Here is a 24,555-nt window from a genome sequence, read left to right on the forward strand (position 1 = left end):
CTCCAGAAAGCCAGGCTTCAAGAAAATGCACTTCAAATGCTGGGTGTGGTGGACAGAGCTGCGACCTGGCACTAATTCATGCGTTTCCTGATAATTATTGAAGATTATCATGCATTTGCATTGTACTATATTTTTGTATATTTATTTACTCTTGCCTCTTGCTGTCTATTATTTAGAAGTCTGTAATAGAAGACTATAGGTCAGCCTGGGATAAACTGTAAGTCTAAGATCTGACTTACAGTGACCCCAGTGAGCCAGCCGCAACCCCCAGCCCCCTCACCAGTATGATACTTGTGAATTATTTCGCCATGGTCTCTTAGGTCTCATCTCATTATCTTTATTCCTTCTGAATCCACTGATTTCTGCTTCCCTGGGGCGATTTAAAGTATATGTGGCTCAGCTTTCTTCTTGCCGATTGAAGCTTCCACCTTTTGGCTACTACAAATAATGCTGTTTAGGTGTGGGTCTCAGAATCTTACAAGTTCTTACCTGGAGGAAGACAATATCCTTGGGGTAGAGATGGGCTTTATCCCATCAGTAGGCAAATGTACAAAGATACCAAGTCCCAGGAAGGAAAAAGGAGGTGGCATTTAAGAAGGAAAGGGCCAAAGAAGAAAATAAGACGAGAATGTGGAAGTAGCATATCCTAACACTTTCTGGCTAATTTATTCTGAGTAGCTTCTTCTCCTGGAAATGTTTCCGAAGGCAGCCCTTTTCCATTCCATCTTGAGGGCCTGCGAAAGCATTAGGAAGAGAAACATTGCATGACTGGGCTGAGGGAGAAAGTTTTTGCTGAAGCTCTTCTTCGTGAAGGTCAACCAGGAAACAAGGTTACCAGCAACAGGGATTATCCCCCAGGAGAGCGGGGCTGCAAGTTTGATCTAAAAATCCATCCAAGCAGTAGGAAGGGAGAGATAAGGACTGAGCAATCGCCTGGAGAATTCACACCAATGTCCTATAAGCAGAGAGGAGCAGAGCCGGGTGCGGTGGCTCACGCCTGTAATCCCAGCACTTTGGGAGGCTGAGGTGGGTGGATCACCTGAGGTCAGGAGTTCGAGACCAGCTTGGCCAACATAGTGAAACTCCGTCTCTACTAAAAACACAAAAAATTTGCTGGGCATGGTGGCGGGCGCCTGTAATACCAGCTACTAGGGAGGCTGAGGCAGGAGAATTGCTTGAACCCAAGAGGCAGAGGTTGTAGTGAGCCGAAACTGCGCCATTGCACTGCAGCCTGGGCAACAAGAGCGAAACTCCATCTCAAAACAAAACAAAAAAAAAGCACAGAGGAGCTTCTAGATCATTAGTGGATTGTAGCAGCTCTGAAATAGACCTTAGTCTGAGTCAGTACCCTGTGCTTTGAAGAGAATCATTTTACACCACATTCTGACATCATCACGAATAGTGTGGCTAAGCAAAGAGGAATGACTTTGGAGCCAGACCAAAATGTGGATCATGATTCTCTGTGTGACTTTGAGCAAGCAAATTTCCCTAGGCCTCAATTTTCTCATCTATAAAATGGGATAATAAGATCTATCTTTGTTGGGCTGGGTGTGGTGGCTCACACCCGTAATCCCAGCACTTTGGGAGGTTGAGGTGGGTGGATCGCCTGAGGTTAGGAGTTTGAGACCAGCCTGGCCAACATGGCAAAACCCCATCTCTACTAAAAATACACAGAAAAATTAACTGAGCACGGTGTTGTGTGCCTGTAATCCCCGCTACTCGGGAGGCTGATGCAGGAGGATCACTTGAACCCAGGAGGCAGAGGTTGATCATGCCACTGCACTCAAGCCTGGGTGACAGAGCAAGACTGTCTAAAAAAACCAAAAAAAACAAAAAGAAACACATACAAAAAAGATCTATCTTCTTGTGGAGATTATGCATATAGGAAGGAACTGGAAAATTGTTTGTGCCCAATGAATGCGAGCTCCCTTGTATAAACCTTTTAAATGCTCCTATTTCTTTATTGAACACCAGCCTCAGCGGGTTGGGTACTGCGTTAAGTGCTTTTTTTTTATGTGCAGAGGTTGCATAGTGGCAGATACCATGTGTGATGGGTGTGTTGTCTTCATTTATTGCGTGAGGAGCCTGAATTCCAATAAGTGAAGTTCAAGGTCATTTGGGAAATGGCAGAGGTGGGATTTGAGCTGAGGGCTTACTGTTACGCCCAGGTTCAAAACTTGTGTACAAATTCTTTTTGGTCTCCTGCATAGCAATAAACAGGTCCAAAGAAAATGCACTTCAAACACCGAGTGTGGTGGACAGAACTGCGACCTGGCACTAATTTATGCATTTCTTGGTAATTATTGAAGGTTATCATACATTTGCATTGTACTATATTTTTGCATATTTATTTACTCTTGCTGTCTATTATTTAGAAGTCTATAATAGAAGACTATAGGTCAGTCTGGGAAAAACTGTGAGTCCAAGATCTGACTTCTTCTCCTAATTGCCACTTAGAAGCCCCGGACAAATGAAGGAACTTCTGCGAGCGTCAGTTTCTCTCTCTGTAAAAGGAGCTAATAATTGCTCTGCTCATCTCAAGAATTATTTCAAAGATCAATGAGCTAATCAAAGTGAAAGCTACATCCAACTGTAAATTGCCAGAGAAATACAAAATTTCATTCTTGCATCCCCTGAGGACAGGAGGAAACCCCTGCTGGTTTTTCATCCTATTCCCTGCAGCCTACAGCACGAGGCTGAGACTAACTCAGATGCTCCCAAATCTTTGTTTTCATCTCTTCCTTCATCAAGTCATTCAGAACTGCAGCTAGACTCACCTTTCCCTTCCTGCAAAGGCCCCCGCTGATGGGAGAAGCCTGTTCCAGCCCCTAAGCTCAGCACATAAGACCATAGCTCACTCTTCCCCGCTTCCTGGCTCTGTTCCAGCCTTGGCCACTTCTGTTCCAGCCAAGCAGGTCTCCTCATTTTCTTCAGTGTAGATCAGTGGTGCCTTCTGATCTTGCCTATTTTTTTTCTTTTCTTTTTTTCTTTTTTGAGATGGAGTCTCACTCTGTTGCCAGGCTGGAGTGCAGTGGCACGATATTGGCTCGCTGCAACCTCCAACTCCCTAGCAATTCTCCTGCCTCAGCCTCCCGAGTAGCGGAGAGGGGATTACAGGCATACACCATCACACTCAGGTAATTTTTGTATTTTTAGTAGAGACGGGGTTTCATCATGTTGGCCAAGACGGTCTCGATCTCTCGACCTTGTGATCCATCCGCCTCGGCCTCCCAAAGTGCTGGGATTATAGACATGAGCCACTGTGCGTGCCCGGCCATCTTCCCTCTTTTTCTCTGGGGCCCAGCCCAAACTTTTCTTTCCTCTGAGGTTTCTTCTGAACACCCTGCTCTATAAAAGGGCCTGCTCCTTGTGTTTATTTGTTGTAATGATCTAGCTTTCAATATTTATTTATTTTTAATTAAGATATAGTTCACATACCATAAAATTGGCCCTTGTTCTAAAATTATGTCCAATTCAGCAGCGTTTAACACATTCGCGAGATTGCGCAACCATCACCACTACCTAATTCCAGAGCCATTTTTTCACCCTAAAAAGAAATCCCAGGCACATTAACAGTCGCTGCTCATTCCGCTCGCTCTGCAGCCCCAGGCAAACACTAATCTACCGTCTGTCTCTAAGGATTTGCCTGCTCTGAATCTTTCAAATAAATACGATCATACAGTAGGTGACCTTTCGTGTCTGGCTTCTTTTAGCATAATTTTTCAAGGTTCCTCCAGCTGTATGTAGCATTTACCAGTACTTCATTCTTTTTTTTTTTTTTTTTTTTTTGAGACAGAGTCTTGCTCTGTCACCCAGGCTGGAGTGCAGCGGCACCATCTCGGCTCACTGCAAGCTCCGCCTCCCGGGTTCACGTCATTCTCCTGCCTCAGCCTCCCGAGTAGCTGGGACTACAGGCACCCGCCACCACACCCGGCTAATTTTTTGCATTTTTTTTTTTTAGCAGAGATGAGATTTCACTGTGTTAGCCAGGGTGGTCTCAATCTCCTGACCTCGTGATCCACCCGCCTTGGCCTCCCAAAGTGCTGGGATTACAGGCATGAGCCACTGTGCCCGGCCATTTCATTCCTTTTTATGACCGGATAATATTTTATTGTATGAATATGTCATACTTTGTTTATCCATTCGTAAGCTATAAACGTTTGGGTTCCTTCCACCTTTTGGGTACTATATGAGTCATGCCGCTATGAACATCCATGCACATGTTTACATGTCAATATATGTCTTAAATTCTCTTGGGTGCAAACCTAGAAGTTGAATTACTGGGTTATATAGTAACTCTATGTTTCTTTCTTTTTTTTTTTTTTTTTTTGAGACGGAGTCTCACACTGTCGCCCGGGCTGGTGTGCAGTGGCATGTTCTTGGCTCACTGCAACCTCCGCCTCCCAAATTCAAGTGATTCTCCTGCCTCAGCCTCCCGAGTAGCTAAGATTACAGGCTCCCGCCACCACGCCCGGCTAATTTTTTGTATTTTTAGTAGAGATGGGTTCCACTACGTTGGCCAGGCTGATCTCGAACTACTGACCTCATGATCCACCTGCCTCGGCCTCCCAAAGTGCTGAGATTACAGGCGTGAGCCACCGCGTCCAGCTTATGTTTCGTTTTTTCAAGGAACTGACCTTTTGGGGTCTTACTGAATATGTCATGCTGCTGGTGATCTTTTCTATCTTCCCACTAAACCTTGGGCTCTTTTTCAGCACAGTCCTTGGCACAGTGGAAGCTCAGAAAGTATTTGGGAATGAAACGTGAGTTGAGGAGGCTGCCGCGGGAGGACACAGAGGCAGAGTTTCCTGTTTTCCTGCAAGCTTGTTCACAGGCTCCATGCATGACAGACTGGTGGCTGCCTCAGTGAGACCTGGGTGTGCAAGCTCTAGCGACAGACTGTTTGACTGTTTCTTTCCCTCTCTTATTTTAACAGCCATTCACACTGCTCCACTCAGCAAATGACAGGCAGTGGTTCTTGGCTTTTCTCCTGGAGAGAGTCATCTGCAGAGACTCTGCCACTCATTAGCCCATGGCCCTGGAGACAACAGGTTCATAATCCCTCTGCCTTCAATCTCCACATTTGGGAGCTGGGCTGCATGTTTTCAGAGACACCGGCTTCCAAATGAGGCAAATCAGAGCCACGAAAATTCTGATTCCTTGCTCCGCGACAGACCAAAAGAAGTCATATTATTTCTGGCAGGGAGCTGGGGGTGCAGGGATGTTAAAAAATAAAACAGTAGCAGTCTCAACTCAGGTGATTCTTAGGATAACCAGAGCCACCAGGTCTGGGAGCTATTTTTGCTCTTTGATCCTTCCAGTTCTGATATTTTATGATTCTATGAAATTGGCTATTTATGCACCCTAAAATGGAACTAATTAAGAGCTTTTCAAAGAGAATTTTGTATACACCAATGATATCAGAAATGCCCAGGTACCCAAAACTCAAAGGAAGAGCTGGAGGATGTGGCTTCTATGGAATAAGAGTGAGACTGGTATGTTTCATGATGCTTTTGTTAAGAGGAAGATAAGTCATGCTGACTTGTGGGGCTGGGAGCTGGTCCCTTCTCCTCTACAAAATCTCATGCCCTGCATCTCAGGTTTGCTAGACCCCAGACAGCTGTGTTTTGCTTTGAGGGTCCTACAATGAACTCTGGTGCAGTAGCCAGGCATTGTTTTTGTCTCTCTGGAAGCCCTACCCCTTGTTCTAATAACAAAATTCATCTTTTGTGGTTGGGACCTTCACCACCACTCCATCTGGTGGAACTTAGTCCCTGACTTCACCTTTTCCACCATCGCAAACCAGGTTGACCAGGTGTCATACCCAAAGATTGTTCTGCAGTAGGCACCTGAGTTAATCAGGTTTGATTGGAGCTCCTTTTTGGATGAAGACAGATACTGAGAGAGAAAATCTTGATACCTTGTGAAGAGAGAGTCTGCCCAGGAATGGAGCTAACAGGGAGTTAAAAAGGACAGAGAGAGGGAGAGGCAGAGAGCAGGCAAGAGAGAGAGACAGAGAGAGAGAGAGAGACAGAGAGAGACAGAGAGAGAGACAGAGAGAGACAGAGACAGAGACAGAGAGAGAGAGAGAGAGAGAGAGAGAGAGAGAGAGAGAGAGAGAGAGAGAGATGTTGCTTGAGCTCTTTGAGTCCAGGCCACCCAAAGTTCATGCACTTGACTTCCCCCATTATTTGAGCCAGTGCTTTTTTGGTTTAAAAGAATCTTGGTTGGCTTTCTTTTATTTGCAACCCAAACTATATTTTATTTATTTATTTATTTATTTATAGAAACTGGGTTTCACTCTGTCTTCTGGGGGCAGAGCAGTGGTATGATCATAGCTCACTACAGCCTCAATCTCTTAGGCTCGAGCAATCCCCCTGTCTCAGTCTCCTGTGTAGCTGGGACTGCACCATGCTTGGCTAATTTTTTAAAAAACTTTTTGTAAAATAGGTCTCACTATGCTGCCCAGGCTGGTCTCGAACTCCTGGGCTCAAGTGATCCTCCCACCTTTGCCTCCCAAAGTGTTTGGATTACAGGTGTGAGCCACCACGCCTGGCTGGTAAGAGTCTTTTTTTTTTTTTTTTTTTCTTCTCAGATGGAGTTTTGCTCTGTCACCCAGGCTTGAGTGCAGTGGTGTGATCTCGGCTCACTGCAACCTCTGCCTCCGGGGTTCAAGCAATTCTCCTGCCTCAGCCCCCCAAGTAGCTGGGATTACAGGCATGCACCACCATGACCGACTAGCTTTTTTTTGTATTTTTAGTAGAGATGGGGTTTCACCATGTTGGCCAGGCTGGTCTCCAACTCCTGACCTCGTGATCCACCTGCCTTGGCCTCCCAAAGTGTTGGGATTACAGGCATGAGCCACCACGCCCAGCTGAGAGTCTTGATGAATATCCTTGATACCCCCAATGTGGGCAGTGATTTGACTCCGGGTATGAATGTGTCAACAGCAAGGCTCCCACCCCCTGCATTTGGTTCCTGCTCCATGAAGACATGGAGCTCCAGCAGCAGCACATGTTCAGCAATGTCTCCAGGTAAAAAAAATAACTAGAAGAAGATAACTGGGGCTAGGGACTGGTTAGCCTTGCCTTTCATTCATTCACTTCCAGTGCTTACTAATATGTTGAGTTTTGTACTGAATATTGTCATGGATGATGTTGTTTAATCCTCAAAACAACTGCATGAGGAAGATTGTATCATGATTCCCCTTTCACAGATGGAGAAAAGGAGACTCTCAATATTTACCCAAGTGCCTCACTCAAGTGAGGGCATGCTGGGGAAGGATTTTAAGCCAGGCTCGTCCTGGGTGCAGAGCTGGAGCTCTTAACCAGCTCTGTTTCAGTGTTATTTACACAAAACAGCTCTCTGGGTCTTTTTATTTATTTATTTATTTATTTATTTATTTAGTTAGTTAGTTAGTTAGTTAGTTAGTTTTTGAGACAGAGTCTCACTCTGTTGCCCAGGCTGGAGTGCAATGGTGCGATCTCAGTTCACTGCAACCTCCACCTCCTGGATTCAAGCGATTCTCCTGCCTCAGCCTCCCTAGTAGCTGCGATTACAGGTGCCCGCCACCATACCCAGCTAATTTTTATTTCTTTTTGTATTTTTAGTAGAGATGGGGTTTCACCATGTTGGTCAGGCTGGTCTCGAACTCCTGACCTCAAGTGATCCACCGGCCTCAACCTCCCAAAGTGCTGGGACTACAGGCATGAGCCGCCGCGCCCAGCTGGGTCTCTATTTTCTGTTTCAGAATCTCATTGCTTCCTACAGGTGTGCTGTGAAGGGTCCCCAAACAGAAGAAAAATTCCTTTTTGTCTGAAGTCCCAAATCTCTTTGAAAACTGTCCTCTGTCTCACCACTGGCTACTGACCTCAGCTCCTTAACCTCCTATGTCTACCCAAGGAGAAAGGTTTTATTTCAGGAAAGTCACAGCACAGGAGAACTGCGAACAGATGGTGTTGATGACATATTGTGCCCTTTTTATTTAGATGGGCATGAGAGAACCATTGTGCATGGCCAGGTGATGGGGCAGGTCTCTCCATCCAGGTGTGAACCTGACAGCCCGACAGGAACGCTGTGACTTCAGCGGGGAGGACTGAGCTGGGAACCTTGGATTTGGCTGCAGAATTCCTTCTGACCTTCCAGTGAGCCCAGAAGTTTCTGTATTTAAATATGACCATCATCATCCAGCCTTTTCATGGGATGGATGAGGAAAATAAGGCTCAGAGAAGTTAACCAACATTCCCAGGGTCACACAGCTAGTTGGCACAGAATCCACACCTCTTCCCCAGGGGGCTTCCTGGGGCTGCCTGGCCTGTGTCACCATCCTTGGCACTTGTTTCTTTTGTCCCTCATATGGAAGCGCTGAGTGATTCAGAGCAGCTCTGTCTTGTCTTTCACAGAAACTATTTATTCCCCAGTTGGTGATTTCGCTTTACTTGCCTCTCCCGTGCCGGTTGTCAGAATGTCTAGAAAAATCTGACAGCTGGTATTCCATTTAGGGACAACACTTGGGGGATGTGTCTTAAGAGGGCGCACACACAGATCTTGCTGTGCTTCTACTCGACTTCCAAATATAATATGCTTTCGTCGGCAATGAAATGGAAAATGAGCACGGGTGATGAAGCACCGTTTCGTATGAAGACTTTGAAATGCCAAAGCCCAGGTAAATGACCCAGGGTGACCAATGAAGAGGCCAGGGCTGGGCATTGACAGGTAGACCCAGGTTAAAATTATTTTCTTTTGTTTTGACTCAGCAATTAAAAAAAAAATTATTTTAAGTTCCATGATACATGTGCAGAATGTGCAGGTTTGTTAAATAGGTAAACGTGCGCCATGGTGGTTTGCTGCACCTATCAACCCATTAGGTAGGTATTCAGCCCCGCATGCATTAGCTATTTATCCTGATGCTCTCCCTCCCATTGCCCCCTGACAGGCCCCGGTGTGTGATGTTCCCCTCCCTGTGTCCATGTGTTCTCATTATTCAACTCCCACTTATGAGTGAGAACATGCGGTGTTTGGTTTCCTGTTCCTGTGTTAGTTTGCTGAGGATAATGGCTTCCAGCTTCATCCATGCCCCTGCAAAAGACATGATCTCATTCCTTTTTATGGCTGCATAGTATTCCATGGTGTATATGTACCACATTTTCTTCATCCAGTTAAAATTCTTTTTATAAAAACATTGAGACAGGGTTTCGTTCTGTCACCCAGGCTGGAGTGAAGTGGTGCGACTGTGGCTTACTGCAGCCTCAACCTCCCAGGCTCAAGTGATCCTCCCACCTGAGCCTCCTGAGTAGCTGGGACTACAGGTGCCTGCCACCATGCCTGGTTATGTATGTATGTATGTATGTATGTATGTATGTATGTATGTATGTATGTATGTATCTATCTATCTATCTATCTATCTATCTATCTATCTATCTATCGAGACAGGGTTTTGCCATGTTGCCCAGGTTGCAGGTTAAAATTCTTAGCCACTATTTGACTTGGGAAAAATGACTTCACTTTGTGGAGCCTCAGTTTCCTCATCTACATGAAAATGGTAACAGAACTTGTCTCTCAGGGCCATGCAGAGGGGTCAATGCAATGTGTTCATATTAGGTTGGTGCAAAAGTAATTGCAGTTTTTGCTGTTAAAACACTTGCCATTGCTGGGCACAGTGGCTCATGCCTGTAATCCCAGCACTTTGGGAGGCTGAGGTGGGTGGATCACCTGAGGTCAGGAGTTCGAGACCAGCCTGGCCAACATGGTGAAACCCCGTCTCTACTAAAAATACAAAAAATTAGCTGGGCGTGGTGGTGCATGCCTGTAATCCCAGCTACTCAGGAGACTGAGGCATGAGAATTGCTTGAACCCAGGAGGTGGAGGTTGCAGGGAGTTGAGATCATATCACTTCACTCCAGCCCGGGCAACAGAGCAAGACTGTGTCCAAAAAAAAAAAGAAAAAATTGCCATTCCCTTTAATGGCAAAACCCGCAATTACTTGTGCACCAACCTAATAAATGACCAGCACTTGGCAGGCATGCGTGACAGTTCTCTTCCACCCTCTTCCTTCTGGACTGCATCCATATGGATTAAACAGTAAACATCCTGGAAGCAAGCACCATCAACCTTAATAGATAGTATAATGTGTCATGGGAGCACTTAATAAGAATCTGGTGACCGGCAAATAGATGATTCAACCACAAAGACCACTGAATTCCATAGATGCCAGCAACTGGAACCAAATAATAAGATATACATTCGTCTCAGTGTCATTGAGCTTATGATCTCTAAAACCAAGAATGTCTGGTGCCTAAAATGGGTGGAACTGAGGCAAAACATCCTTAAAAACTCCCTTATTCAGTATGAATGGTGAATGGGTACTTTCAGTAGACACATACTTAAATGTCCAACCTGTTATGGGGATATGGGCTTGGTAAGTTTTTTATTCAGAGTTGGGGTCTTGCTCTGTTGCCCAGGCTGAAGTGCACTGGTGCAATCATAGCTCACTGCAGCCTCGAACCCCTGGGCTCAAGTGATCCCTCCACCTCAGCCTCCCGAATAGCTGAGACTACAGGCATGCGCCACCATGCCTGGCTAATTAAAAAATTTTTCTTTTTGTAAGGAAGAGGTCTTGCTATGTTGCCAGGCTATGGTAATTTTTCCAAAAAATTAGGACGCAAAGATTGACAAGTAACACAAAAGTATATCAAGCTGGGTACGGGGGCTCACGCCTGTAATCCCAGCACTTTGGGAGGCCGAGGATGGGGAATCACTTGAGGTCAGGAGTTGGAGACCAGCCTGGCCAACATGGTGAAACCTTGTCTGTACTAAAAATACAAAAATTAGCCGGGCATGGTGGCGCATGCCTGTTAATTCCATTTGCTCAGGAGGCTGAGGCAGGAGAATTGCTTGAACCAAGGAGGTGGAGGTTGCAGTGAGCTGAGATCGCGCCACTGCACTCTAGCCTGGATGACAGAACAAGACCCTGTCTCAAAAAAGAAAAAGAAAAAGAAAAAAAAGTATAGCAAGCATATTTTATCATAATTACGGGATTCAGAGATATCTGAGAGACTGGGAGTGCCTGAAAGTCATGCTTTTAACCAAATATTCTCATGATACTGGGGACATATAAAGTTCTAATACTATGTAATGCCAGAGAGTTCCTGAATTCAGAGGGGTGAAATGAATTCATATGCACAAAGCACCCAGAACCGCGGGTGGAATGTGGTCAGCACCTGACTCAGTTTGAGTGATTTTCCATCGGGAAGCCAGGTGTGATTGATGGAAAGGTCGACTGCAGACCCCTGAGCTAGGGTCTTCTAGCCTCCTCCCTGCCTTCAAAAGGGTTTCTGTAGGGAATTCCTTTTGGTGCTGTAGGAAAATGAATTCTATATGCAATGTGAGCCCCTGATACAGGGTTTCCTGGAGCAGTCAGGAAGACTTGCCTTCTTTTTTCTTTTTTTGGCAGAGTCTTGCTCTGTTGCCCAGGCTGGAGTGCAGTGGCACAATCTCGGCTCACCGCAACCTCTGCCTCCCGGGTTCAAGTGATTCTCCTGCCTCAGCCTCCTGAGTAGCTGGGATTACAGGCTCCTGCCACCACACCCAGCTAATTTTTGTATTTTTAGTAGAGACAGGGTTTCGCCATGTTGGCCAGGCTGGTCTCGAACTCCTGACCTCAGGTGATCCTCCCACCTCGGCCTCCCAAAGTGCTGGGTTCCTGCCTGGGTGCAGGCAGGAACCACTGCACCCAGCCAGGCTTGCCCACTATCCAGCTTGGAGTTTCATCCCATTTATTCTTGTCCCTTCCTTGGGAGAAAATGTAAAGGGTGATGCTTCCATATGACTGCAGGGTGCTCCTACCACAAAGATAAGGCAGACTGGCTAACTGGAGGGGCTGTGTATTTGTGTATGTGTGTGCGTGTGTGTGTGTGTGTGTGTGTGCGTGCATGTGTCTGTTGTTTGTGTTGACCTAAAAATTAAACAAGATAACAAAATCAAACCAAAAACAAACCTTTCCCATCAAAAGTGCCACAATCTTTGGGGTCTTATTTTTTTTCTTTATTCTTTATTCTTCCATTCATGTAGAAGGAATAGTCAATATTGCTCACTTAATGAAGACCATCTGAACACCTCTTAGTAAAATTATCAGACCCAAAATTCAGACAAATGAAAAATAGAATCATTGCTATAACATGGGCCCGCCACAGTGGCTCACACCTGTAATCTCAGTCCTTTGGGAGGCTGAGGTGTGAGGATCACTTGAAGCTATGAGTTCAAGAACAGGCTGGGTGACACAGCAAGACCCTGTTTCTACAAAAGTAAAAAAGTTAGCCTGGCATGGTGGCACATGCCTCTAGTCCCAGCTACTCAGGAGGCTGAAGCAGGAGGATTGTGTGAGCCTGGGAATTCCAGGCTTTAGTGAGCTGTGGTTGTGCCACTGCATTCCAGCCTGGGTGACACAGCAGGACTCTCTTTATTTTATTAAAATAAATAAATAAATAAACTCACTGGGTGCCGTGGCTCATGCCTGTATTTCCAGCACTTTGGGAGGCCAGGGTGGGAGGATCACTTGATGTCAGGAGTTCGAGATCAGCCTGGACAACATGGCAAAACCCCGTCTCTACTAAAAATACAAAAATGAGCCGGGTGCGGTGGCACATGCCTGTAATCCCAGCACTTTGGGAGGCTGAGGTGGGCAGATGGGCAGATCACTTGAGGTCAGGAGTTCGAGACCAGCCTGGCCAACATGGCAAAACCCTGTCTCTACTAAAAATACAAAAATTATCAGGACGTGGTGGCGCATGCTTGTAATCCCAGCTACTCAGAAGGCCGAGGCAGGAGAATTGCTTTAACCCAGGTGGCAGAGGTTGCAGTGAGCCAAGACCATGCCATTGCACTGGGCAACAAGAGCAAAACTCCATATAAAAAAAATATAAATAAAATAAAAAATAAAAGGATGCTGATGGCATTTTCAAGTCCTCCCATTAATTTCTAATAGAGTCCTTGTCCCTTGTGCTGCCCACAGCAGCATTTTGAAATCTTTTCCATGCTCCAGATCTCAGTCCCACCTCCAGCTCTCCTGAGCTCCCAGCCCTCTGATGTGGGATTCTTTAAGTTCCATCTCTGCCACAAAATGTCTGTTTCTTTGCCCATCTCTTAGTTTCTGGTGAAGAGGCAGATGGGCTCTTCCACCTTCTGATGGCAAAGACCTTCCTAATTGGTGTGATTACCTGTTTGCTCTAATGAGAGCAGCAGGAAAGAAATTCCTAGGGATGAGGGGTGGGTTAGCAAGAGTAGAGAAGACCTGAGTGGGGGCTCTGGGGCTGAGGGAAGAGGCCCAGCCCGTTCCTTTCCCTCTCATTGGTCATGTGGGGTTGCGAGGAGGATTCAGTTTAATGAGAAAAGAATTTCATCACTTGGAAGAAATAAAGGAAACCATCTTGGCCCTTCACAGTTAGGTGCTAGATTCATCAAGACTTGGGATGGAGGGAGCAGACAGTGAGTCAGGGATCTGAGATTGAACTGTTCTGCCCCGATACACCTTAGAAAATTAATCAAGGAAGAAGGGCAGGAGAGAAACAAAAATAAACCAAATTTGACACACACTCAGTGTTGATCGTGAGGTCAGCTCGTTTTCCAACTTGCTTCCTCATAGGCGTTTGCTGCCTATTGCCCCAGAATCACATAGACCCTATTATAAGATTATAGTTCTTTATAATATAATGATTTATATTCCTTTGGGAATATACCTAGCAATGTGATTTCTAGGTCAAATGGTATTGCTGGTCCTAGATCTTTGAGGAATTGCCACACCATTTTCTGATAGACTGGATAAAGAAAGTGTGTACATATACACAATGGCATACTATGCAGCCATAAAAAGGAATGAGATTATGTCCTTGCAGGGACATAGATGGAGCTCGAAGCCATCATCCTCAGCAAACTAACACAGGAGCAGAAAACCAAACACTGCATGTTCTCACTCATAAGCGGGAGCTGAACAATGAGAACACATGTTGCGGGGTGGGGGATGGAGAGGAGAGCATCAGGAAAAATAGCTAATGCATGCTGGCTTAATGCGTAGGTAATGGGTTGATAGGTGCTGCAAACCACCATGGCACACATTTAAATGTAACAAACCTGCACGTCCTGCACATGTACCCCAAAACTTAAAAAGTAAAATTAATGAAGAAGCCAGGTGTGCACATGTGCACGCATGCACACACACACACACACACAAACACACACACACACATGATTATAGTTTCCCCCTCCTTTTTTTTTTTTTTTTGAGATGGAGTTTTAACTCTTGTTGCCCAGGCTGGAGTGCAATGGCGCGATCTTGGTTCACTGCAACCTCCACCTCCTGGGCTCAAGCAATTCTCCTGTCTCAGCCTCCCGAGTAGCTGGGATTCCACGCACATGCCACCACACCTGACTAATTTTTGTATTTTTAGTAGAGACGGGGTTTCATCATATTGGTCAGGCTGGTCTCGAACTCCTGACCTCAGTTTATCCACCCGCCTTGCCCTCCCAAAGGGATGGGATTACAGGCGTGAGCCATTATAGTTCCCCTTAATTGCCCTATTGATAACAATTTGAACAGTATAAAACATTAAGTTTTCCCTTTGAGATATTCTTTAGGTTCTGCATATCAATGAGACTACTGATGTCAGCTGGTCTGAAGGACCCCCCCCCAGGGAGCTGACTTACCAAAGAATGCAGTTTCCACATCCTGATGGTTTCATCAAATCAACAACCTCAATTTTTCAGTCTCTTGCCCTCCACAATCCCCTTAAAAACCCTAGCTCAACACTCCTCAGGGAATGGATTTGAGGGTTCCTCCTGTCTCCTTGCTCAGCTACCCTACTGTCATTAAACTGTTTCTCTGCTGCAAACCCTGCTGTCTCAGTGTATTGGTCTATTACTGAACAGTGGGCATAAGAACCTGGTGGTCCTGTAACAGGACGTCAGCAAGGGCATGGTTGACGTGGCTGGACAAGGCACGCAGCTTAGGCCAAGGGCAAAAGAGGATAGGGAGGAGTTGACAGTTTGGGAGAGATGGGGAGGCCCCAAAGCGCTCAAGGCTGGGAGGAGGAGAGGGAGATTTAGGAGGTGGAAGCAATGCAGCTGTGCAATCAGGTCTTGATAGAAGAAGGGAAAGGTTCAAAATGCCAACGGGCCCCCGTTTGTGGATATGGGAGCAATATGGAAGCAAAGGGTCTAAGGTGAGCCACAGGATCTCAGACAAACTCCTCTAGTCCTAGGATGCTAAGCAGGTAGACTCAGGAACTCAGTATTCTCTTCCTAGACACCTCTGCCCAAAATGCAACCAGGGAGGCTCTTTCTTGCATGTGGAAAGGCCTGTGAGCATTAAATATATTCACCCATCACTTTGATCATGCTTGAAAAATTCTTAAACCTAAACACAAATCAACGAGCTTGTGTCTGGGGGACAAACAACCCTGACATAATGTTTTTGCAAAGTTTCTCTGAGATAAAAATATGCAAAAGGGATTATGTAATGACCGTCCCAGAGGTCATACAAGAATGCAACGTGCAAATTACAAAATAACAGCTTTTTTAAATGAAATAAGATAATGAATTTTAAACCACTTAGTGCAGTGCCTGGACTAACAGGCTCACACCTGTAATCCCAGCACTTTGGGATGCTGAGGAGGGGGAATCACTTGAGGTCAGGAGTTCAAGACCAGCCTGGCTAACATGGTAAAACCCCATCTCTACTAAAAATACAAAAATTAGGCCGAGTGTGATGGCTCACGCCTGTAATCCCAGCATTTTGGGAGGCCGAGGTGGGCGGATTACGAGGTCAGGAGATTGAGACCATCCTCACTAACACAGTGAAACCCCGTCTCTACTAAAAATATGAAAATTAGCCGGGCATGGGGGTGGGCACCTGTAGTCCCAGCTATTCGGGAGGCTGAGGCAGGAAGATTGCTTGAACCCGGGAAGCAGAGGTTGCAGTGAGCAGAGATTGCGCCACTGCACTCCAGCCTGGGTGACACAGTGAGACTTTGTCTCAAAAACAAACAAAACAAAACAAAACAAAAATACTACTATAGTTATTGGTTAGGTAATGGTTAGGTACCTAACCATGGTTAGATAATACCATAATTATTACCATAATTATTAATTATGATATTTATTAAATGTTATGGTGATAATTATTACCATAATGGTTAATTAATGTTAAGCCACTTAGTGCAGTGCCTGGGCTAATAGTTATTAATGGCAATTAATAATGGTAACAATTATTAGTCCAGGCACTGCACTGACTTAAAATTATTAATTAACCATTATGGTAATAATTATTAATAAACATTAATAATTATTTTATAACAATAAGGATTAATAATTTTTAATAAACATAATACTTGCAGTATGGTTATTAATAAATATAATTGCTATTAACGATCATTATATATTAATCATATTACATTAATTATAAATAAGCTATTGACAAATCATTAAAGCAAACCCAGCAAGGCTTCTGTTTGGTAGCCCCTTTGTCAGGCATTTATTTTATTAATGTATAAGGTTTTGAGAAATAAAAAGGCCTTACTTCGAATTTAGATTATTTCCCAGTATAGCCTGACCTTTCCCAAATTACTAAGATCTATGACATTTCCCTGAACAAAACACTGATCCACCAACAAAGGCTGTTGTGGAAAATGAGATGATACCCAAAAATACCCTTCTCCACCCATCTCAAGAGTGCTGACTAGCAGTAGAGCGCTTGAGCCCCATGTGCTTTCATTGTGTGGGGCTCACATCATCTGTCAGCCCCGAGCGAGATGGATTGGGAAGGCCAGGTCTGCTGTTTTCTCAAGTTTCAGTTCTCAATCCCTTCGCTCCTCACCCCTCCTCACCCTCGCATGTCCTGCTGGAAATGGCCTTGGCTGTGACCACCCCATCCTGCCCTTATAAGATCAGTGTGACTCCCACTCCAAATACAGTCATTGATGCTATCACCCCATTGTCACAGCAAGGAGACCAAGGCAACTTCAGGACCACAGCTGGGTTTTGTTTGATGCGCATGGCAGTTTTGCAGTGTTTAAATTTGAGTGACTTCAGAAGAGATCATTGCTTTCTGTTTTGCAACAGACTCCACTACTCCCTCTCTCCCACTGTTTGCAACCTCAGAGTACAGGCCATCTCCTGTTCCCTCCTGTCGTGGCCTTTAATGCTGGGTCCATGATGCAGCAGTTCAGCCAAGACAGGGCTGATGGGAGCCTGGGTTTGCATGGACAGTTCTGGTGCCTGGGACCAGCTCAGCTCCAAGCACACTAGCCTCCCCCCATAGCACTCACTGGCTCTAAGGGAGACAGCTACAAGACCAGGCAACCAAATATATCCTTCTAGTGTCTATGTGACAGCTTCCCAACTATGTATACTGACTTATTTAAATGTTCAAAAAAAAAAAAAAGAAAAGAAAAGAAAAAAAATTTGACCTCCTTAAGAAATGTCAGCATTGAACAGAAAAGTTGCTGATAGCCTGCTATATGATGTTTTAATGTAATTAAAAATTTTTTTTCTATACAACAGGGCTATTAAAACCACTCTGATTTTCAAAGTTGGAAAGAAGGATTAAATCCTTTAGCTTCTCAGGAATTCTCTACTGATTAGGAGATTCAGTAGGCTCTCTTTTTTCTTTAAATTTGCTTTCATGAATAAAAAAAAATAACCTTTCATGGGTCTCTTTTTTGGCCTCCAGAGAACCTTATTTCTTCTGTAACTACTTGGTTAAGTTCATCAGAGGACTCTGTCCCTTTTTTTTTTCTTTTTTTTGGCCAGTGCATTTGGGAACATAGAGGTCATCCATTCCTAAGAATTCTGCGAAGTAGGTGTAATCATCCTGATGTTTATAGATGAGGAAACACAGAGAAGGTCCATCCTTTGCCCAAGGTCACACAACGGACTCGACCCAAGTTTGCCGGACAGCCAAAATAGGCTCTTTGCACCGCCCCATGCAGCCACAACCAAGAGAAGGCAAACAGCACAAAACCACACATCCAATCACACGCAGACCTCAGAGAGCCTTGAGAGAAAAGACAGGGTCAGTGGAGATTCTGCAAAAAATGCAGAATTTGGAGGAGAAAGATGGAGAAAATGAAACCCACCGCATCTTAGCAAAAAAGATCTTTAACCTCAGTCCTGGATTTTTGGCTTCAGTACAAGGGAACATCAGCCCAAGAGCCTGTGTGTGAACGCATTTTTCATATAGAGAGTGTGGTGCATTGGCCTGTCCCGGACCGGGGAGGGGATGGCAGCAGGGGCACCTACCTCCTTCAAACTCTGTTTGGCAGTTCCCCGAGGTCTCATTCAGGCTCTCTTCCTCATTGATAATGATGTTCTCAATGTCCTTCATCGTTAGGTGGTCTCGGAAGGCATGATAGAGAATGTGCTTCAACTCTTCCAGAGTTATCCTTTGCATGTCAAACTGTGGAGATAAAGAGTAGTGAGATGGTCAGAAGCATGTGGAGATGGGAAGTTGGCTCGGGCCATGACAGGCCAGACCCACAGCTGCTCTGCAGAAACTTGTCTCAGCGTTTCAGGATATCAGGTGAACAGTTTTCCATCCTGTTCAGCTCCAAGTATACTCATGAACTTGCAGGGACTTATTGGAATGATAGAGAGTGGAACATATTCCCTTCGCTTTAGCTTCTTGGAGAAAAAAAATGCCACCCGCCAGTCTGGTTTCCTATTCATCCAGCCATCTGCTGTCAACCCTGCATACTTTGTGTACTTTAGAATGGTGAAACCCTTTATATAATGCATACGTCTCTAAAATTTTTATAATTTACCAACACTCTGGCAATTCCCATATTGGTTTAAGCATGTATCTTTTTTTTTTTTTTTTTGAGATAGAATCTTGCTCTTTCGCCCAGGCTGGAGTGCAGCGGCGAGATCTCGGCTCACTGCAACCTCGCCTCCCGAGTTCAAGCGATTCTCCTGCCTCAGCCTCCGTAGTAGCTGGAATTACAGGTGCCCGCCACCACGCCCGGCTAATTTTTTTGTATGCTTAGTAGAGACGGGGTTTCACCGTGTTGGCCATGCTGGTTTTGAACTCCTGACCTCAAGTGATCCGCCCGCCTCGGCCTCCCAAAGTGCTAGGATTACAGGCCTGAGCCACCACGCCCGGCCTAATTATGTATCGTTTAAAAAAAAATTTAGAGACAGGGTCTTGCCCTATCATCCAGGCTGGAGTCCAGTGGTGTGATCATAGCTCCCTGCAGCCTTGAACTCCTGGGCTGAAGCCATCCTCCTGCCTCAGCCTCCCAAGTAGCTGGGATTACAGACATGAGCCACTGCGCCTGTCTAACATTTACAATTTTTTGTAGGGACAAGGTCTTGCTATGTTTCCCAGGCTGGTCTCAAACTCCTGGCCTCAAGTACTCCTGCCTTGGCCTCCTGAAAGTGCTGGGATTACAGGTGTAAGCCACTGTGCCTGGCCATGAATCTTGTTCTAACAAGATAAAAACACAAGTTCAAAGTCATGTTCATGAAGAAAAGCTGCTGAAGGAGAGGTGCAGAGTTCCTGATTACATCCTGCCCCTCCCCGAGAGAGGACTGTACTTTTCCACTCCATTTATATTAGGTTTGATAGTGTCGCTTTCTTTTTTCTTTTTTTTTTTTTTTTTCCGAAATGGAGTCTTGCTTCCATCTCGCAGGCTGGAGTGCAGTGGCGCGATCTCGGCTGACTGCAAACTCCACCTCCCGGGTTCAAGCAATTCTCCTTCCTCAGCCTCCCGAGTAGCTGGGATTACAGGTGTGCACCACCACGCCCAGCTAATTTTTGTATTTTTAGTAGAGACGGGGTTTCGCCATGTTGGTCAAGCTGGTCTCGAACTCCTGACCTCAGGTGATCCACCCGCCTCGGCCTCCCAAAGTGCTGGGATTACAGGTGTGAGCCACTGCGCCTGGCCAGTAGTGTCACTTTCTTGGCCAATAAAATGTGAGTAGAAGTCACATCTACCACATCTAATTCACAGCTTTATGAATCATTGTGTGGTTCTAACATTTGTTCTTTCCCTCTGCTATGAGAATTACATGCCCCAGATAGAGGCTGTTCCTTCGGGCTGGGTCTCAGAATGAGGATAAAGTGGGGAACACCTACAGCTGAATCACAATGGACAGCTCACGTCAGGAATACCCTGTGTTGTTATGAACCATTGAGATTTGGGGCTTGTTTGCTACGGCAGCATAACTTAGACCATTGTTGGTCTATGTCAAAAATAGAGAAATTGGTACATAAAACTAAGAGGCTACCATAACCAAAATTCTAAAAGACAATGTACTGGTTCCGGAGCCAGGCAGTGAAAAATGAGAAAACTGTGACTGGAGGCTGGAAAGACACAGATCCCTGTAATACGATAGCAAAACATTTGGTAAAACTGTTGCCTGTGATACCTTGGAGGACAGGCAGATATTGAATCCGAGTCCAGTGGTTTTAGGTAAAAAGTCTGTGAAACAGAATGCCGTGATTCACAATTGAAATTAGCTGCATCTAACAGAGCACTACAAGAAAGAGATGAGCTCAGGAAAGAACTGGTTGATTTGCAAGCCAAAAATAAAAACCACTCAGAAATTCCTGGCGTTGCAGCATTGAAAGAAGCAATTGTTTCTTTTTTTTCTCGTAATGATCTTGTTATCTTCCTATCCACACATTTCTCAAAGCCCCCATTTCTATTTCTAGTTCTATTTTTTTAGAGACAAGGTCTTGCTCGGTGGTCCAGGCTGATATGCTGTGGTGTGATCACAGCTCACTGCAACTTCAAACATCTGGGCTCAAGTGATCCTCCTGCCTCATCCTCCTAAGTAGTTAGGATGACAGACATGCACCACCATGTCCAGCTATTTTATTTATCATCATCATCATTATTATTATTATTATTATTATTATTATTATTATTTGAGATGGAGTCTTGCTCTGTCACCCAGGCTGGAGTACAGTGGCGCAATCTTGGCTCACTGCAACCTCCACCTCCCGAGTTCAAGTGATCCTTCTGTCTCACCCTCCCAAGAAGCTGGGATTACAGGCACACACCACCACACCTAGCTAATTTTTGTATTTTTAGTAGAGACAGGGTCTGGCTATGTTGCCTGCCTCAGACTCCCAAGAAGCTGGGATTATAGGCATGTGCACCACACCTGGCTAATTTTTGTATTTTTAGTGGAGACAGGGTTTCACCATGTTGGCCAGGCTGGTTTCGAACTCCTGGCCTCAAGCAATACTCTGGCTTCAGCCTCCCAAAGTGCTGAGATTACAGGCACTGCACCAAGAGCAATTGTTTCTCATCTCCAACTAGTAAGAGATAAAATAAAGAAATGCTTTAAGTAATAATACAGCCCTATTGAAACAAATCAATGCCTCTTTAAAAAAATCTCTGAATGTGTTAAGTGACTCTCCTAGGAAGCCTGTTATTAAGTTTAGAGAGAGGTATGTCTCAAAAATAATTGTGGATGTGTTTACTAGCATAACTGATTGGAGCCAGATAAAAACATAACTAAGTCCTTGAGAGCTATACTGGCCAAGAGCCAACAATCTTGGATTAAAAGACACTATAACTGTTCCAAACTTTAAAAGATCTTTGGGGCCGGGCGCGGTGGCTCACGCCTGTCATCCTAGCACTTTGGGAGGCCGAGGCTGGCGGATCACAAGGTCAGGAGATTGAGACCATCCTGGCTAACATGGTGAAACCCCGTCTCTACTAAAAAATACAAAAAAATTAGCCGGGCATGGTGGCGGGCGCCTGTAGTCCCAGCTACTCAGGAGGCTGAGGCAGGAGAATGGTGTGAACACGGGAGGCGGAGCTTGCAGTGAGCCGACATTGTGTCACTGCACTCCAGCCTGGGTGACAGAGCGAGACTCTGTTGCAAAAAAAAAAAAAAAAAAAGATCTTTGGACTTCCCAACCTACGGGCCCAAGCAATTAAGAGGATAAGCTACACGGGTCCCAGGAAGGGTGTATTACACAATGCCCTCATAGAGTAAGTACAAGAATAGTGGAAAAGGACAGCTTTCCTGGGAATCTTGGAGAACAATGTCATCCAGGGTCACTTCTAGGAAGCAGAAGCAGCTAATTGAGGGAAAATTCCTCACCCCAAGGTTTTTGTCCAACAGGGTTTCAGAACTGCTCTGAGCCTCTGACCGCTATGGGTATCCCATGTTTTGCTTTCCAGAGGGGAATGTTTTTGGTGGTTGGCCTGACCCTGGTCCACCACCATATGTCAAGTGTGTGTTTGTGTCGGGCAAGGGTGAGGGGTAATTTGACTTTTTAGTTTTTATGTTTCCATACCAAGAAGAGCCACATCCAGATTTGATGAGCATCATGAGATTCTAGAGCTTGAGTCTGGTGTTATAACTGGATGGGACTGTTGGGAAGTCTCCCCTGGGGAGGGGAGGAGTATATTTTGCAGCTGAAGAGAGGGAAATGAATATTGATGAGCAAGAGTGTGGACTGTAACAGGGTCTATTATTTCCAGCTATAATTGAGCCTTGAAAAACATGGGTTTGAACTGTGTGGGTCCACTTATATGTGGATTTCCTTCTCCCTCTGCCATTCCTGAGACAGCAAGACCAACACCTCCTCTTCCTCCTCCTCCACCTACTCAAGGTGAACACCATGAGGATGAAGACCTTTATGATGATCCATTTCCAGTTAATGAACTTACTTCCTCCTCTTTATGATTTTCATAATAGCATTTTCTTCTCCCTAGATTACTTTATTGTAAGAATGCAGTGTACAATACATATAACATACAACATATGAGTTAATCAACTTTTTTTTTTTTTTTTTGAGACAAAGTCTCGCTCTGTCCCCCACCCTGGAGTGCAGTGACGCAATCTTGGCTCACTGTAATCTCCGCCTCCTGGGTTCACGCCATTCTCCTGCCTCAGCCTCCTGAGTGGCTGGGACTACAGGTGCCCGCCACCACGCCCAGCTGATTTTTTGTATTTTTAGTAGAGACGGAGTTTCACCGTGTTAGCCAGGATGGTCTGGATCTCCTGACCCTGTGATCTGCCCGGCTCGGCCTCCCAAAGTGCTGGGATTACAGGCGTGAGTCAACACAACCAGCCTTGAGTTAATCAACTTTTTATATTATTGGTAAGGCTTCCAGTCAACAGTAGGCTATTAGCAGTTAAGTTTTTGGGGATTCAAAAATTATACTTGGATTTTTGACTGCACGTGGGTCAGTGCCCCTCATCTTTGCTTTGCCTAAGGGTCTACTATATTTGTTTCCCCTTGTAGGAGAGGATGATATCTCCTTGCCTGTTGATGTCACAAGCTTTGGCCAATCAACTGAGAGCCAAAGTGATAGAAGTATGAAAGTCCAAGGAGAAGCTTCAAAGCCATTGTGTTTTCTGCCATTTCCCTTTCTCTTCTTTCACATAACATTTACACAAAAGAGGGGCTGCTGCTTCATTCTAGGTTCTGGAATGACCTAGGAATTCAACCTGAGTAGATCCTCAACCATCCCACAAAGGACGCGGGATCTGAGTGAGAAATAAATGCTTGCTGCTAACTGCTAAGACTCTGTGGTTTCTGCAGTGTAACTTAGTCAAGGGTGAACACAAAACTCAGTGTTTTCAGTTACTCTGCACTATGAGGAAGGAAGTTTTAGACTCTTTTTTCCCTCTCTCTCTCCCTGCCTCCCTTCCATCCTTCCTTTCTTCCTTCCTTCCTTCCATTCCCTTCCTCCTTCTTTCCTTCCCTCTCCCCCTCCCCCTTTCCTCCCTTCCCACCCTCCCGCCCTCCCTTCTTTTCTTCCTCCCTCCCTCCCTCCCTCCTTCCTTCCTTCTTTCCTTCCTCCCTTCCTTCCCTCCTTCCTCTCTCTTTTACTTTCTTGTTTCTTGCTTTGTCACCCAGGCTAGAGTGCAGTAGTGCGATCATAGCTTACCGCAGCCTCAAACTCCTGGGCTCAAGCAATCTTCTAGGTGGAACTACAGGTGCATGACACCAGACCTGGCTAATTTTTTTTTTAATTTTTTTTTTCTTTACAGAGAGAGTCTTGCTATGTTGCCCAAGCTGGTCTCAAACTCCTGGCCTCAAGCCATCCTCCTGCCTTGCTTGCTTGTTAAACAATTTGTACCTTGCTTTAACTGTGCACCTCTGTTCTAAAAAATTAAATTGGGATATTGAATCTTGCTGTAAAATCTAAATGATTCAAGTTCAAAGCCATTTATACACTTCAGAGCAACTGAAGGGGAGGTGTAAAACAAACTTGTTTTCTGCATTAGAGTTTAACGATCCTAGACAGGAATTTTGACATACACTCAGAGAAAACTCATGGGACCCTGTCTCTTTATATTGGGTAAGGGAGCAAGGTATTGTTCATTTGGCTTTGGGGAAAAACCTGGCAGAATGCATGAAGAGGATGATTTACAGATGAGAACACCAAGACCCCCTGCCATGATCAGAGATGAAGAGTGGCAAGATCAAGGTCAACAAGACTCAGAAAATGAGTAACCATTTCCTAACACTTGAAGAGTGTGGTGCCTGGAAAACCTCTAACCTGTTGAGAGGTTGCTGTCATTCAGAAATCAGGC

The 24,555-nt window shown here is 45.1% G+C and overlaps 1 protein-coding gene across 14 annotated transcripts in view; it reads right to left on the reverse strand.

The window, feature by feature from the left end:
• CALN1 (calneuron 1) overlaps positions 1 to 24,555 on the reverse strand; it is a 724,789-nt gene that overhangs the window by 12,557 nt on the left and 687,677 nt on the right. For all 14 annotated transcript variants that reach the window (XM_017012677.2, NM_001363460.1, XM_017012683.2 and 11 more), the window contains one exon: positions 18,289 to 18,445. In XM_017012677.2, the coding sequence (XP_016868166.1) occupies positions 18,289 to 18,445 (157 nt within the window). The remainder of the gene's footprint in view (positions 1 to 18,288; positions 18,446 to 24,555) is intronic.

Source organism: Homo sapiens, chromosome 7, assembly GCF_000001405.40.
Source record: "Homo sapiens chromosome 7, GRCh38.p14 Primary Assembly".
In the NCBI taxonomy this organism is placed as follows: Eukaryota; Metazoa; Chordata; class Mammalia; order Primates; family Hominidae; genus Homo; species Homo sapiens.